The sequence below is a fragment of the Homo sapiens genome, chromosome 10 (genome assembly GCF_000001405.40).
Source record: "Homo sapiens chromosome 10, GRCh38.p14 Primary Assembly".
NCBI classification, from domain to species: Eukaryota; Metazoa; Chordata; class Mammalia; order Primates; family Hominidae; genus Homo; species Homo sapiens.
In genome coordinates, this window is record NC_000010.11 from 80,149,968 (window position 1) to 80,166,867 (window position 16,900).

At 51.4% G+C, this 16,900-nt stretch overlaps 1 protein-coding gene across 11 annotated transcripts in view, besides 2 other annotated features; it reads right to left on the reverse strand.

The window, feature by feature from the left end:
• Nucleotides 1-921: 921 nt before the first annotated feature.
• The window catches only part of ANXA11 (annexin A11), a 54,920-nt gene continuing 38,941 nt past the window's right edge, over nt 922-16,900 (reverse strand). For 7 of the 11 annotated variants that reach the window (NM_001278407.2, NM_001157.3, NM_145868.2 and 4 more), the window contains 9 exons: nt 16,117-16,230; nt 14,086-14,176; nt 13,567-13,646; nt 13,382-13,438; nt 11,968-12,061; nt 9,133-9,228; nt 8,000-8,058; nt 7,674-7,796; nt 922-5,945 (listed from right to left, as the gene is read on the reverse strand). In NM_001278407.2, coding sequence (NP_001265336.1) covers nt 5,886-5,945; nt 7,674-7,796; nt 8,000-8,058; nt 9,133-9,228; nt 11,968-12,061; nt 13,382-13,438; nt 13,567-13,646; nt 14,086-14,176; nt 16,117-16,230 — 774 coding nt within the window. In that variant the 3' untranslated portion in view covers nt 922-5,885. Of the gene's footprint in view, nt 5,946-7,027; nt 7,797-7,999; nt 8,059-9,132; nt 9,229-11,967; nt 12,062-13,381; nt 13,439-13,566; nt 13,647-14,085; nt 14,177-16,116; nt 16,231-16,900 lie in introns of those variants that run through there. The other 4 variants (XM_005269742.2, XM_006717813.3, XM_047425140.1 and 1 more) reach the window with 1 other exon arrangement.
• Nucleotides 8,215-9,414: an enhancer, noted in NCBI's record as "CDK7 strongly-dependent group 2 enhancer chr10:81917938-81919137 (GRCh37/hg19 assembly coordinates)". NCBI's record gives its function as "activates an origin of replication core promoter dependent on BRD2, BRD4, P300/CBP, MED14 and CDK7 cofactors, with strong dependence on CDK7, by STARR-seq in HCT116 cells {active_cell/tissue: HCT116}" and the evidence as "EXISTENCE:reporter gene assay evidence [ECO:0000049][PMID:35650434]".
• Nucleotides 8,512-9,053: an enhancer, noted in NCBI's record as "H3K4me1 hESC enhancer chr10:81918235-81918776 (GRCh37/hg19 assembly coordinates)". NCBI's record gives its function as "activates a minimal SCP1, AML or CMV promoter by ChIP-STARR-seq in naive H9 embryonic stem cells {active_cell/tissue: H9 hESC(naive)}" and the evidence as "EXISTENCE:reporter gene assay evidence [ECO:0000049][PMID:30033119]".

Below are 16,900 nucleotides of genomic sequence, written 5' to 3' on the forward strand. Positions count from 1 at the left end.
CAGCCTCCTGGGCAGCTGGGACTATAAGTGTGTGCCACCAGGCCCTGCAAATTTTTAGTATTTTTTGCAGAGATGGGGTTTTGCCATGTTGCCCAGGCTGGTCTCAAAGTCCTGGGTTCAAGTGATCCACCTGCCTCAGCCTCCCAAAGTGCTGGGATTACCGATGTGAGCCACTGTGCCCAGCCTGTTATTTTCTTGAACTACATTTTTAGTTTTTTAGTTTGTATTCTTTGTCAGGTGTGGCCACTAAGTCTTTGGTTAGCTTAGTGGTCAGCTAGTGATTCAAAAGATTTCTTTGAACACTTGGAACAACAAAATGCCTCGTAGCATTTGCAGATGTGTTCTGTGTTGGGACACACCTTTCAACCTTCACCCATGCAGTTTATAACTATGCCTTAGCCTTCACTTCCTGCTTGCACGGAGCCTGAAGGTCAGGCAGAGGTGACAGCATAGGGCCCTCTCAAGTCTTTTTAAGCACATGCCCAGCCCTAGGCATGTGTATGGTCTTTCAGATTCCCAGGAATATGTGGAATCTCTTTAAAGTCCTTATTCTCACCCAAAGAATCTTATTTCCTAGCCTTTCCTCCTGAAGCTTTTCAATTTGTCTCCTGTTTGCTCCAAATGTTATTCCTTCCCCTAGGCATGAGCCACTAATACACTGACCTTGAAACGTCTTTCCAGGCTGCCATCTTCACTTTAGGAGAGCTCCAAATTAGGCAAAATAAAAGAAAGGCATTTGAACCAGTCCTTCAGGGAGCAACAAATCAAATCAAAATCAACATACTTCTTGAAAATAAGGTCTAATCTGCTACCTCCAGTGACAGGAACCTATACAGGGAATGAGGGATATTGTTTTTGATGCTGCTGCCATGCTGGGGAGTGGGGGATGGGGCCAGGGTAAGCTAAAACACAACAAAGCTCTCTTACTAAATCCAGCTTTTATTCTTAGGTATTCACCTGATTGCTGTAAACTTTCAATTCGTTTCCAGAGTTCCCATAAATTTGAGTTTTTGCCACCTTATTTGCTGCTTTTGTGGAAGGACAGACTTGTGGAATTTCCTATTCCATTTCGTTGACCACATTAAAGTTTTAGAAGCTCTCCTCTAGTCTACCCTTCATTTTAAAAAGTCAAAAAGACAGGAAGTGACATATCCAGGGTCACACAACAAATCAGGGGCTGAGCTGAGATCAGAATAAGGATGTTTGACTCTCAGGTCAGAGCTCTTTCTGCTTCAGGACTTCATCAGCTCTTAGTGTTGAGAAGGAGTCAGGCTCAAGCTAAACACCAATATTAGGCCAAGGGGCAGCTTTCCAAGGAGTAGGGGCTGAGGGTAAGAGTCCTTGGTATACCTGGTGGGCTTGACTGACTCCTTTACTGACAGGGGACCCTACATGAGTCCAGGTTGTGGACTGAGTAATGATGTCCCTATCCCTTAGAAAAACACAGGCAGAGAGCTTTCAGATTTGATGGGGGTGAAAATGTAAACCTTTATCTTTCTGAGGACATGTATTTAGCTTGATGTTTCTAGGTCTCATTCCACTCCATCTCGGCCAGGGCAGGAAAGAGCCTACAGCAGAAATAAGGAGCCAGGTCCTAAGGTAGGGCTGTAACTCCCTGCCAAGGCCAACAGAAAATGGGCATGGCATGGCATTAAACCACCACTTTGACCGTGGGCACCTGCAAAGGTTCATCTTTCAGCTCCCTCTTCCCAAAGCTAGGAGTGCCTCATCTCATCTCTCATCACCTGACTGAATTCCAAGCAGACTGTGCCATCTGCTCACCTGCCCTCTGGAGGAACACCTCTACTTTTGCGGTGTTCTCTGTGTGAGCACAGTAGTATTTAGATAAGCGTTAGATTACAGCAGGTTACAGATGCAGTTTCCCAGTCCCCACACCTGCTCAAAATGCATGAGGGTCTGACCGCAGGAACTGCTCTTTAGCAAGCTCCCCTGATGATCCTGATACACACTCAGGCTTGAAAACCACCACTTTAGGACCATCTACCCAGCCACAGGGTGAGCACTCCAAGGTTTCTTTCTTAAATTTTGCACCTGAGACAAATGCCACCAGGACTAGGGTGAGGCGAGTGAGGCTATCTGTCTCAGGTGCAAAACTATTTAATAGTGTTTCCTCCAGCGCCCCCACAGCTGCTGAAAATTCTCTCAGGGCTGAATTCATCTGGTGCTTCTATTTTAGAAGTCAGACTAGATGTGTAGCATGGACTGGCCTTGACTAACATATCCAGGAGGCAGGAGAAGACCCATTGTGTTCTATCCCAGAAAGATGACCTGTAAGGTTGCACATCTTTCTCCCTATCTTTTTTGTCCTAAGCATAATAAACAGTGTTGATCCCAACCTCCCACTGACCTTGGAAGGCAGTAGGTGCCTTTGCCTCTGGGAAGATCATGAGGCATTCATGCAGTCCTCCAGCCCATACTTAACATGGGTTGGATCTCTTGGGAGTGACCATGAGGGCAGCGAGAGGAACAGGAAGGCAGGGAGAAACAGGACTAGGACAAACACAGGTGTCAGGTCCACAACTATGCCAAATGTCATGCCCAGGGTCAGGTTCCAGCCCATGCTGAGGTTCGAGGGGACTGGGTGGATGGGCGATAGCTGAAAGAAAACCTGGCGGGCCATAGGCAGGTAAAATGTAGTTTTATTCAGCAGCTATCTCATCAGCAGCTCTCACACTGTCCACCTTTACCTAGGCTGTCTTCTCCAGATCTGCAGCTCCTCTCAGCAGCCAGCTCTGTGGCTCCTGCCACCCCCATGCTTGCAGGTGCACTCCCTGGCTACAGGGTCAGCGGCTTAACTCTCCCTCTGGGCACAAGCTGAGCCATGTCCTGGCTCCCCTCTATCTATCTGCCAGATGGTCACTCTCCCTTACAGGGGTCAATAGCTTCACTCTCTCTGGGTGCTAGTGCACACCACGTGGAGCCATGCCCATCCGAGCCCAAGAACATCTGTACAGCGTCAGCAGGGCAGTTATACCTTTTCCAAACAATAGTGGCTTTGAGCCAAGTATGAACTTACACAAGCAGGTTATATAACAAGTGGAGTATACGCCTGTGACCTAAACTCGCTGAGTCACTCTGGCCTGGATATCCACCTTGGTCTATTCCTTGACCAAAGCACATCCATGTACTTTACAACAGGTGGTCTCCAAGTGTGTAGACCAGGGTCTCAAACCCAAAGGCCTGCAGGAGCCAAATGGGTGACATGGGCTTAGTGTAATACAAGACGGAGCCTATAGCAAATAAGGAGTACAGGCCTAAAGGGGCAGCTGCAACTCAGCTCCAGCCATGCAGGAATGCAAGCCCCATAGTGCCAGAATTTCTGAGTTTTCAAGAGAAGCCAGAATTCCAGATTTTTAAAAATATGAAATCTCTCAATGTTTAAATGTTGGCAACAAATTCAAATGTCTAAAAACACTTTGGAAACCAAAGTAAATGTGTCTGTAGGTGCAATATTGCCTGCTGGGCACCAGGCTGGGAACTTTGGAGTAAACAGGGCAAGGTAATGTCACAGAATATGGTCACATCAGAGCACATTGGTTCTAGGCCCCATCACAATTCAGGAGGCCCCCAGGGTCACCTTGAGTTCATGGCAAGTTGTATATGCCAAGCACCCCATCCCATCAGGCAGGTCCCACCTGGCACCCAAGGGCAAGGGGCCTGCCCTAGCAGAGGAGTTCTTGGGAGAGCAGCAGGGATGGGGCTTCAGCTTGGGCTTGAGGCATGGACTCTGACGCAGAGCTGACGTGTTGACCAGGACCTGCCATCAATCTCAGGTAGACCAGGCTAGTTCTCAGCTCATGGCTGCTCCACACCCTTCGGATGTCATTCTTCCTTTATGTTTAGGGGGTAGTCCTCAAGCAAATGTCTGCAGATGAGCTACTCCCTGGGGCTCCTGCCAGGACCCAGCAGGCTTGATCTAGCCTAGTCTCTCTGGATTCTCCCATTTCTTTTTGTTTTTTTCTCATTTGAGACAAGGTCTCGCTCTGTTGTCCAGGCTGGAGTGCAGTGGTGTAATCACAGCTTACTACGGCCTCAATTTCTTGGGCTCTAAGGATCTTCCTGCCTCAGCCTCCAGAGTAGCCGACTATAGGGAATGCACTACAATGCCAGGTAAATTTTTTTTTTTTTTTGAGACAGAGTCTCACTCTGTCCACCCAGGTTGAAGTGCAATGGTGTGATCTCAGCTCACTACAACCTCTGCCTCCTGGGTTCAAGTGATTCTCCTGCCTCAGCATCCTGTGTAGCTGGGATTACAGGAATGTGCCACCATGCCTGGCTAATTTTTGTATTTTTAGTAGAGATGGGGTTTCACCATGTTGGCCAGGCTGGGTCTCGAACTCCTGACCTCAGGTGATCTGCCCGCCTCACCTCCCAAAGTGCTGGGATTACAGCCGTGAGCCACCACGCCTGGCCAAATTTTTTAGTAGAGACAGGGGTCTCGCTGTTGGCTAGGCTAGTCTTGAACTCCTGAGCTCAAGTGATCCTCTCACCTCAGCTTCCCAAAGTCCTTGGATTACAGGCGTGAGCCATAGTGCCTAGTCGATTCTCTCTTTTCTAAACCTCAACGCAGGAGGTTGGAAAAGGAGTGGGTGGAGACCCCTGATGCAAGGTAAGCTCTAGCTTCTGGACATGACACCATAATTCTCAGAAACTCTCTTATGGATTCTCTTCCCTCACACCACCAACCAACGGGCACAGGGTCCCCAGAGACCAGAGCCAGGAGCCCCTTTCAGCCTGGAGGCACCCTGAGGGGAGGCACTGGTCTTGTGACTCTCTGGGTTGTCCCCATCCTTCTCTCTGGCCCCCGCCGAGGGGCACCAGGAATTAGCACACACCCTTCTTCCCTCCTGGGACCTGGGTGAAGGACTGCATTCTTCGCACCACACCTTCAGTGGACTTCACTGCACCTGCAACCAACCAAGATCCCTTTGCCTTTCAGGTGTCTGGGCCTCCTGCCTGGATTTCGGGAACCTCCCTTCCCATGTCCTTACGAGTCCCTGCAAACTAGTGTATGCTCAGGGTTTCCTGCACACAAATCTCTACGTAAGGTTACATGAACTTTCACTGGCTGATAAGGCCAGACCTCTGAGCCACAGGGCAGAATCAAGCAGAAGAAAACAAGTTGGTACCAGGAAGACATTTCCAGACCATTCCAGAGCTGGCTGACTCTTAATGTGGAAACAAGTTTTGGCTACAGACATTCAGGTTTAAGGCACATACCACAAATTACAAGAAGCCCTGTCACTGACAGGGAACTGGCTTTGTTCTCGTGGTTTCTGCAAGGAAGATGGAAGGAATGACTTTCTGGCCCTTTTTTTTTGTTTTTTCTAAAAAGGAGTGAGTTTGGCAGTAACAAAGCTCGTGACACACTCACCAGATGCACAGGCTACCTTCTCAGGCACGCCTCCCTTTCTCTCCTCAGCGAGGACACGGTGCTTCACCCACCCAGTCGCCCTCACCAGAAATGTGTATGCAGCAAACAGACTTGTATGCCTCTGTCTGGCAATGACTGTAAGAAAAGAAAATATGCCTCCAAATAAAAATATACAATTACATGACGAAATGAAGCCAAGTCTTAGCCACAGGCAAAGGGGAATGATTGCATGAGTCAGAAAAATGAAACATCTATTTTAGCAGCAAGAGGCTGTGAGGGATGGGGTAGAAAAGGCATCCTGAGAGAGTTCTAGACCGACCCAGGTCCTGTGGCACACTATACGGGTCAGGAGGGGTGGAAGACAGGCCTAAGCTCTAGGACGGTGAATCTCGGGGCTATTTGTGGATTTGTTAGAAACAGACATTCTTTTGGCCTTTTCCTGGCACTGGTGTTGCCGGCAGGTGGGCAGAAGTGAGCCACCAGTCACTGTTCAGTCATTGCCACCACAGATCTTCAGCAGAATCTTCCGGTAATCCCCTGAAGTATCTCCCTGGCCACAGAAACAAGGAAGACATCCGTTAAGGGAGGGACAGTCACTTTCAGCCTTCTGGGTCCTGATATTCAGCCCTGAGCACCCTTATAGGGAGAAAGCCCCACCCTGGGGAATTTTCTCCCACTGCAGGTCCTGCAGCAGGCGTCACAGACCTTAAAAAATGCAGTTCAGCCTTCTCCAGGCCCCCATCAGAAGACGGAAAGCAGCACTCACCCCAGCTATCCACATCAAATGAATACCCACAAAAAAAAATTATAATCATCCTAAAAACCACTTCCCAGGGCTAACCAATATTGCTGTTTTCCCAGTGCATTTATGCTGCCTTAAATTGGGGTTACCAATGTAACGCAACACAGTGTCCTGCTCAGGAAATGCAATCTCCTCACACATGACTGTCCAGTGGAAGGCTCAGACTGCCCAGGTCCCAGGGATCTCTCCTCTGTCTGAGGCCACTACACTTACTCTAAGAGTGCAGGCTCGGCTTGGCTCATTTCTAATCATTTCCTTCCACCCTAAGCAACTTGAGGGCAAGGCATGTGGCTTCTTCCAGATGTCCATAGCTTGCTGGCATGCAGGAGATACTCTGTAATGAATTATTAACTCTCTTTTTTTTTTTGAGACGAAGTCTCACTCTGTCACCAAGACTGAAGTGGAATGGCGTGATCCCAGCTCACTGCAACCTCTGTCTCCCGGGTTCAAGCAATTCTCCTGCCGCAGCCTACCTAATTAGCTGGGATTACAGGCAAGCCCAGCTAATTTTGTATTTTTAGTAGAGACAGGGTTTTACCTTGTTGGCCAGGCTGGTCTCGAACTCCTGACCTCAAATGATCCACCTGCCTCAGCCTCCCAAAGTGCTGGGATTACAGGCGTGAGCCACTGTGCCCAGCCTAGAATCACTAATTCTCTAACAACAGCTTCATTCATACAGCCAAGGAAACACAGTGAGTTTCCTGTGATGACATGCCCACCATCATCAAATGCTACTGAGTCTAAGGTGGGAGGACGTGGTCCCCATGGTGCAATTGCAAGGCTCATGTGAGTTCAGAATTTGAGCGTTAGACCACACAGCTGAGAATGTATTTTGTCAGACTGGCTCTGCCACACAGCGATACAACTGTGGCTAGTGTTTAATAGACACTTGACCTGCACTGCCTCACTCAATACTCACAACATTCCCAGGAAGGAACGATTATTTTCTCATCTTAAAGACAATGGAGCTGGGGTTCAGGGAGATTTAAGGGAGCCATTCAAGGTCACACAGTTAGCAAGTAGAAAAGCTGGACTCCAAGTGGCGTGACCCCCAGGGCCCTCGCTCTGAACGGCCTTACTATGTGGCCTACGCCATAAAGCTGAGTGCAGGAAGTGCTTTGTCAGGGAGTGACAGCAGAGCTCCACAGAGCCTTTGGGACATGAGTTCTCACTGACAGATCAAGGAATCACACGGTGATCGGAACGCTGAAGGTCACGGTCAAGGTTGGGGAGGTCCCGAGTGTTCTCTGATGCTGCTGGGGGATGCAAGGTGGGGGCGACAGCAAGGTCATGATCCACCTGCCCTCAGAAATTTATAATCTGTTTAAGGGCAAGGGGATGAACAAGTCCGAGGTCCATAATCAAGATGCCCACACACAGCACAGAGGCCAAGCATATGGCCACTCCAAGGAGGGAGGTTCCACAGGTGACTGAGATGCCAAAAGGGAGCCCAGTTGGCCTGCAGCAGGCCCGTACCGAGATGTCGTGGTACAGCGACTTGCCGTACATCCGCTTATACTCTGATCTGATGTCCAGGAGGTCGGTCTCGCTGCGAGACACCATGATGCGAATCAGGGTCCGGTCCTTTGTTCCTGCCCCCTAAAGAGAGTCCACCCAAGAGCATGAGCACCAGGCCTCCTCACCTTCCCACCTGCCCTGGGCCCTCCAGTCCCCTCCCTACCCAGGTCCTCGGAACTCTCAGCTGAGATTTAGCTCTCCCCAGGCCTTCTGCCCTCAGCCCTTGGTCCCAGGCACAGGCGAGGCTAAGGTTCCATCGCAACCTGCACATGGAAGTTACATACCCTCATGGCCTTGTTGAGCCTCTCCGCAAAGAAGGCTGGGGTATTCTTGAGACATTTCACTAGAAGAGAGAAACTCGGCATAACCAGATCTGCAGAAAATTCTCAGCCCAAGCAGGGCATGGAGTCTACAAGTGTCCTCTTAGAGGCCCAGATGTCAAACCCATCACTGCATCCATCTTTTCTCCTCCTCCTTCTGTTCCAGGCTCAACTATCCCATGATCTTGGCTCCAGCTATTTGGAACAGAAACACGCAAAGCCTGGAAACCAACCCACCCTCTTTCCTGGCAACCACTGCGGTGAAAGGACCAAGAGTCAGAGGGGCGGGGGTCTTAGTGGGGCTAGGAGCTACACAGGGAAGCAATGTGGATGGTGATGAGGAACTGTGCTGCTGCTCAGGCAGGAGGGGCAGACTGGAGAGGCCATGACCGTCATGGAGAAACCGTGGCTGAGTGGAATGTGCATCTCCCTAGGCTTCCCAGGCCATGAGACCTACTATGGGGGACAGGCAGGGAAATGAGGATTTTCCATCTCTCCCATCCAGAAAGCTCCAAAAAAAGCATAATGAAAAAAGGGGCAGACTGATTTTCCCAAGTGAGTAGAAAGAGGGGTTGTGAGGGCCTCAGGGCAGGGACCCAACTCTGCACAGTGGGAGGGCCCTGCTAGAGGACATGGGCAATGTAAGAGGCACACCACCATCCTGGAGCCAAGCCAGCTTTCCTCAGCATGGGCCTGTTTCGCTGCTGCAAGTAAAAATCTTTCCACGTGTTTCCATCACAAACATCTGACAACTGCCTGCAGGGATGTATTTTTAGAGGAAACGTGGCAGGATATGAGTCATACTCCTCCGGGAGCGCAGTTGGATGCCCTCCCACTAATACCCACACTGCAGTTCCCTACTCCAGAGCTGCACCGCAAACACACACAAGACACCTCCAGGACAGCTAGGGGTTCAACTGCACAGGGAACCGGGAAGCAGCATGACTTCCCAGCATCTGGACACTCTGGGCTGAGCGATCTTGGATCCTGTGGTCCCTTCACGGTGTCACCCATCAGCTGGAGGACAGGCGAGCAGCCTGAACACTCACGATACACGTTAGCCCCTGGCAGGTGGGCGGCAAACCTGAGACACTTACCCACGGCCAGCATGCCCTCCTCCAGGTCCCCGGACATCTCCCGGCAGATGCTCTTCTCAATGTCCCGGCCTGTCATTCTCTGGTACTCATTGAAAACTATGGGGATGACAGAGGCTTATATTATGAACTGAAATGTGTCTCCCCAAAGTTCATATGTGGAAGTCCCAACTCCCAGGACTTCAGAATATAACCGTGTTTGGAGATAAGATCTTTAAAGAGGTAATTAAGTTAAAACATGCTGCTAGGGTGTACCCTAATCCAATTCGCCTGGTCTCCTTAGAAGAAGAGAAGATTAGGACACACACAGAGATCCCAGGGATGTGCACATGCAGAGGAAAGACCATGTGAGCACAGTGATTGTCACGAAGAGGCCACGGGAGAAACCGGCACCCCACTCTTGGATATCTGGCCTTCAAAACTGTAACAAAATGAGTATCTGCTGCTTAAGCCACCCAGTCTGTGGTATTTTGTCATGGCAGCATGAGCAGACTAACAGAGGACTCACATGAGGTGGCCTCTGCCCCAAAATCTCCCACCTGCCACTCTGCTCCCACACCCTGCACGTCCCCAGGCCTGCTAGCGCTCAAGGAAGTCAGAGTCTTCGTCACAAGTTACATGCACCACCTGATGTCCCTCCCTGTGTGGTCCCTTTCTCAGGACTGCCAATCTGCTTAACCAAATCGCACCTTAATACCCCTCCAGGGCCCACTCCCATGTACTCCAAGACAGTGTCCCCTCTTCTCAAATCCTCCACACCTCCAGTCTCTGCCATTCCTTGGCTTTATTCATGCATCCATCTGTCTTCCTCAGCCTGCCTGTGAGCTGAGGCCCAGCCTGCCCCAGCCAGCCTGGCTTCTTGCTGCTCACCTCGACCTAGGACACGCTAAGCACCCACAGGAGTGGATGGCTGGCTCCTAGAGAGACAGGTGGCATGATGGAGACCTTGGTCCTGACTCCAGTTCTGACCCAGGACATAAAACTCTCCTTCCCCAGCCTGAGTCTCAGCTACCATTTGCATTTTAAAGTTGTGATTTCTGCTCTGTGTGTATCTGTCTCAATTAATATCTTCTTCCAATCAGCTACTCTTTTCTCCTAAGTAATAATGTTTGTGAAGCCATGGGCTTGATGCACTACTTACATGTTCTGTACTCATTAAAAGAAATAATGATTAAGATGAAAATGCTTTCACTCAGGCTCCATTACAGGATAGTGCAGAGGTTAAAAAGTGTGCTCTGGGGTCGGGTGGTCTGGGTTCAAATCCCAGCTCAGCTGTTACTAGCTGTGCACCCCTACTTCCTCTACCACCCTGTGCCTGCTTTCACAGCTGCGAATGGGGAGAGCCACAGCGCCTGTCTCTGTGTGCAGCACAGAGCGGTCGCTGGGTTTTCACCCTCACTGCCCACTGGAGCAGCCCTGGCCACAGCCCACCAGTTGCTCCGTGTGGTCACCATCCTCAGTCCTTGCCTGCCACCTCACACTGGCCTCCAGGACCCCCTTCCTCTGCGTCCTCCTCCCTCCCTAGCTGCTCCTTCTTAGTCTCCTCACACCGGTGGGCTCCCCACAGTCTCCCTCCTGAGGGGACCTCCTGCAGTCCCAGAGCCTCAGATAACTTCAACTACCCATAGCTCCCTTACCTTCCACAACCAGGCCAGACCTCTCCTGACCTCCACACTCAGCAACCCAGCAGCCTCCCTGCAGCTCCACCCTACAGGCACCTAAAGCCAGCTCCACCTACAGTCCCCCTGTCTCAGTTGAGGGCCATTCTCCCACTGCTTGGCCTAAAGAAACCCTGTATAATCCTCGAACCCTCTCTCTCCCACACGTCACGTGTCCAATTCATCAGCAAACATGGCCGGAACCTGACACCTCCTCACCACAAGCCCCTATTACCACCATTCCTCCCCGGGTCCCTGCAGCAGCCTCCCGACAGGCTTCGCTGCTTGGCCTTGCACCCTTCACTCCATTCTCGGCACCACAGCCAGGGATTCTGCACAGCCTCCTCTGCTCAGGGCCCTCCACTGGCTTCCTCTTTTGCTCAGGATAAATACCCAGCTCCGGGAAGTCATCAGCAGGGCCCTCTCCCCTCTCTGCCCTCACCTCCCACTCCTCTTGCTCACTCCACCTGCTCCACATGGTCCCCCTTCACTGTTCTCAGTCGTGCTGGGAGCCCCAGGCAGGCCTCTGCCCCTGCATCTCCCTTTAGGTTTTTAAATCAAATGTCACGACCTCAGTGGGGACTGGCCCAAGCACCTCCCGGTGGACCCTACCATCACTCCCTACCTGTTTCCAGCTTGATTTTCCTCTACAGGATTTCCCATCTGATACAGATTTTATTTCATTGTTGTTTACTGTCTGTCTCCCCAAATGAGAAAGTGCAGCCCATGGAACACACTCTGCAGTGCCCTGCCCCCCACCGTGGCCCCACACCTGCTCCACCACCTGACAGACTGACCCATGCGGGAGCGCGATTTACATCTGTTGAATGAATGAGTAAATGAATGGCACCCAGTTTTATTGTTATGACTGTTTCTTATGCCAGGCTTTGGAAAACACTGGATTGGGTGCTCCCGAAGGACCCTCCCAACTCTGACGTTCCACATTCCCACGTACAAAGACACCAGGTTTCTACACCGGTAGAACCTCCAGAACTGGATGTTTGCCAGAACTCAGGAAACCCTCTGACAGTGTCTTTTAAATTCCCACCAGGGGGCTCTTTTGAGGAGGCGAAAGCCCCACGCAGGGAGGAACGACCAAGTGTTCCCATAGCTTTGTTTCCCCACAATCCCCTGACTGCCCTCATCTAACTGGCCTCTGAGGGACCCCAGCCTGCCTTACCTGCTACCAGGTGGGCCCGGCTCCGGGAGCACAGAACCGCATTGAACTTGGACTCGTCTGTTCCCAGGCGGTTCTCCCCGGCCGCATACAGCTCCTGGAGAGAGAGGAAGACGCACATGTGGCACAGGCCACACCCAGACCCCAGGCCCAGGTCACCCAGGAGAGCCTGGTAAACTTCTGAAGGTTTGAGCCTAAAGTATTTGCCAATTTGCAACCTCTGAACTAGATGGCCTCTAAAGTGCCTGCTAGGCCTCAGGTAGCAGCCCTGAAAAAGAGCAGAAAGCAGCAATCAGGGGCTGAGATCCCACAGGTCAAGATGAGGCCAAAGCAGCTCTGGACTGAGAAGGCAGAGCATGAGACAATTTTTGCCCCGCTAAAAGTGGCATGCAAAACTCTCGCTGGAGCAAAAGCCAGAGCCCTGAGCCCCAGGCGTGTCCAGCCCTGACTCCCAGAATGGGAATGGATGTTACCAGCCAGAGAGACACTGAATAAGGCAGACCCTGCAGGAGCAGCAGGTCTGAGACCAGGGCAGAGGCAAGTGCTGACTGGGCACAGAAGACCGAGCCAGGAGTATAGGCCCTTGTCCGGGCTCTGCTTCTAGCTTTCAGTTGGGAACAGTGCTCAACCTTTTTGAGCCTCAGTTTCCTCCTCCGGAAAAGGAGGACCAGCAAAAGGACCAGACCAGAGGAGTAGCTCTCCTCCAGCCCTAACAAGGGGGCATTCCTTGAGGTCTCATTCCAATCCCGCAGATGGTAGAGATAATTTAGACCACTGGCAGCTCCTGGTGAATGCCCTGCCGTGGATGACAAGAGCAGTGAAGGGAGACAGAGAGGTATGGCCAACTCCACCCCACCAGGAAGTAATGGCTCTGCCCTGCCATAATACTACGGTTGAAATTCATTAGTGGGAAACCCAAACTTTTCGAGAGAGTAGCTCAGATGCCTGGACTTTGCTTGGACTTTTCCCCTTTTGTCTGCAACTCACAAGAGGGACAACGACAGAATTCTAAGGGTGCTCAACTAATGTGGCAGCTGGTTTCTAGGCTCAAATCCTCAAAAACTTAATAAGCAAGTGCAAATTTTGCCCCTTTGCAAACATAATGCTATGTGCAACTAAACATGGGGAAAGTACGCTGTCACACAAAATCCCACGTCCAAAACCATGATCTATCAACTATCGAAATACTAATTATCTCACATGTTCCCTCCTATAGGTGGGGAAGCTGAAGCCCTGGAGGTCAGATTACCTGTTCTAGGTCATACAGTTGAACAGTTCAGCGCGTCTGAAACTCACAGCATCTGCAACCCACTGCTTATCTATTGTTCTTTCCACCCTAGGGTACCTCTCTCAGGAAGCAAGAAAGCGGGGTGCATCCCTGCTTTAGGAAGTCCAGGGGCTTGGCCATCACACTCACCTGGGCATCTCTCTGGGCGAGTGACATGTCCACGTTTGTGCTTTCATCACGGTTTCCCTGAAAGGAAGCAGGTGTATGGTCATGCCCACTCCTTCCCCATTTATTTTCCCTTTCCTCATTGCGGGGATCCCATCTCTTTGACTTCCATGGCTTGGGGGCCCCGAGCCCTGTCGTGGGAAAAGTACCTGAGAGAGAGAGATGAGGAGCCGCTGGAAGTGCCCTGATGTGTCGCTTCGAATGGCCTCTTCCAGGGTCTTTTTGAATTCTGAAAGGGAGAAGCAAGGAAGGTCCATCCTGTAGCTCTCTTTATGGAGCTGCCCATTGCAAAACACTATCAAAAGTGGGTACTGGGGAGAAAAAGGCTGGAGGTCTTGGCTCGGGCTCAAGAGAACAAATAGCCCATATGGCCCTCCAGGGATATACAAGCCTGTGACCTCCAGGCTGACCTGGCCTCTAGTCAGCCTTGGCCCAAACCACATCCAGGTTTTCCCTGCCTCTCCCTTACATTAGTCATTTGCACCATGTATAAACAGAAGGAAGGGCTGGGTCTTGGGTCAAAGCCCAAAGTATTGGGGGTGGCAGAAGATGGGTTGATAAGAAGGCCAGGAAGGAGTAAAAGGCCCTAGGAGAGAATGAGGCCACAGCCCCAAGAGCACAGGGATCTGCAGAGGGCAGAGGGCAGAGGGCAGAGGGAGCGGCCTCACCTGCTTTGTAGGCTCTGTTTAATTCTCGGATGTGCTCATTGCTGCGGGAAGCGAGGATCTCAATCAGGCAGGCTTCATCAGTGCCAACCCCCTGCAGGGGCAGAGAATACAACCAACCATGTGCTTGTTCCAGCAGCCTCACCAGCACTCGGGAAGAAGGGTGGGGGCTACGCTGCTGCCTTAATCCCAGCAACAGAGGCCCCTGACACAGAGACACACCCTCCAGCCACTCCCAGGCTCGAGGGCATCAGCTCTTCTCCACAGCCCGGGCAAGCACAATGACAGTGGCAGTGGTGATGAGTAGGGCTCACACAAAGGGGCATCCCCATGGATCAGAAAACTGAGCATCAGAGAGGGGTACTGGCTGGTCCGAGGCCACACAGTAAATGGTTGGGTTAAAATGTGGACCGAGGCCTGCTTTATTCAGAGTTCAGCCGGAAGCGAGATGACAACAACTGAAAAAAATGGGTAAAAAGCAAGAGAGATCCAAGTGGACATACGAAACCCTGGTCCTAGAGGGGATGGTGGAATGTCTGAAAACAACTAGGAAAAGGTAGGAACAACAAGGATGAATCGGACAACCACGCCAGGGACAGTAAGACCATAGAGGACAGGCTGGGCAGCCTGGCTTGTATGTTGGTTTGAATCCTGGCTCTGCAGCTTACCAGCTGTGTGACCTCGGGCACATTACTTAACCTCTCTGTGCTTCCAGTTCCTTGTCTGTAAGATGGGAGTGATACTAGGACCTACCTCACAGGAAAGTCATGAGGATTAAGTGAGTTAATGTACGTAGAGCACTTAGGGCCTGTCAGGCAGGACGTGCGACATTGTGTCAGCTGTTTCCTGCTACAGCTACTATTGGGTTACTACACGTTAGCCCCTCACCCAGTATTCCCAGCATGTCCTGAGACAGCATCCACTGTCCCCATTTCACAGGTGCTCAAGGACACACAGCTGGTGAGTGACAGCTGCCCCAAACCTGTGTGGTTTCTAACACTCCACAACCACCAGCTCATGACTCCGGCTGAAGACGGGGGCCAGGGAGATGTCTGGGTCCACTCCCTGGGGCCCCGGGCCATCGCCCTGCCTGATGGCCTCCTGACCCCCTCCCTAGAATAACACATGTAGATGTGTTTCAGCGGAGACCCCTCTCCTTTCCAGGCCACCACACTGAAGTCTCTGCTTCTCCTGAAGGAGGGAACATTCACTGTGCTTATCAGGCCTCTGAGTGACAGGCTCCTTCTGGGCTCCAGCCTGACTCATGGGATTCCCTTTCCAAGGGAGCTGCCTGCCCCTGCCTGCAGGGTGCACACAGAGCTGTGGGACTGCACAGAATGGACAGGACCCAACCCTCAGTCAAAACCCGCAGGACTGGAGGGAACAGTGAGTCCAAGCCGGGCCCGTCAGAACCTGCCCGTTTGGAGACCCTGCTGGTCTCTTCTGGAGCTGGGTCTCATAGTTATGCGGAGAGTGGTCGACAGGCCCCCTCTCCCACCCCACATGAAGCAGCCATGGTAGGAGAAGCACAGAAACTGACAGAAAAGCGGGCGCTCAGGAGAGACAGAGACCAGAGAGACGTCTGGCCTGGGCCCTCTTTACCCACATGACTGATTCTCCACTTTTGTTGTTCTTAAACCGAAGTGTGTTTCTGTCATTTGCTAGTAACAGAGTCCTAAAGAATGAGAACGATACCAACCATGGCCTCCTACCCCTCTTCTTACCACAGAATCGCAACCTTCAAACCCGAGCTCCCCCTTTTCTTTAAGATGGAGAGAGACTTAAGCCTCCCTGATGATGACTGGTGCGTCATTTGCCTCTTGGGGAAATCACAGGGAGTTCCCTTTTCTATAGCATGTGGACTCCAACCCAGGAAGGCCTGGGAGCCATACTGACAACAGCAGCTAATGAGTGGGCTAGAACACAGCACGCCATCCAGGCCTCCTTCTGGGCTGTGTGTCCACACGCATGCGCGCGTGCGCACACACGCGCGCACACACACACACACACACACACACACACACACGTACACACCTTGATGGCTTCCTTTATCTCATAAATGTCAAAGAGGACTGGGGTCTTCATCAGAGCCAAGATTGTCTTCTCAAAGTTTCCTGACAGTTCAGATTTCAGATCTTTGATCAAATCCTGATTGGATATTCAAACAAACAACCAACAAAAAAAAAAACAAGTCTATTTAAAAAATCCACAGGAAGTGACTAATAAGAGCCATATCCCAGATTTGAGGAACAGCAGCATGGACATCCCCCAGGGGCCTGAGAGAAAAGCCTGCTCTCAGCCCTGCCCCAAACCTCCCAAATCAGAGACCACATTTTACCAAGATGCCCAGGGGATCGGTGACACAATGAAGTTTGAGAAGCACTGGGCTAGAACACGAATCTAATCAATATTTACCGAATTTTTATCTTTCTAAGATTCAAAACCCCAGAAGTTCAAAATATGCTCATACACGCCCCTCGTACTTGGGCAGCACTCACAGCCTTTCCCTGCAAAGCTCTTACATCAGCTAAACCCCCCAGGGTGGTCATGAAGAGGGCAGGGGAAGGAAAATGATGTGGCCACAACCTCAGTGAGATGTGGCAGAGCAAGGGCTAGAACCCAGGGATAGATGTCTGGAGCCTCTCAGCAAACCTCAGCACCCGGTGGCATCCTTCACCTCCCAACGATGCCACCAGCTGGATGGGCAGAAGGAAATGCCCTCCTGCTCCTTACTGTCCATCCGGGAGATCCGGGCCCACCCAAGGAAAAGCAGGGGAGAGCAGGGCTGTGCTGAGCCCAGGACACGCCTCACTGTCCC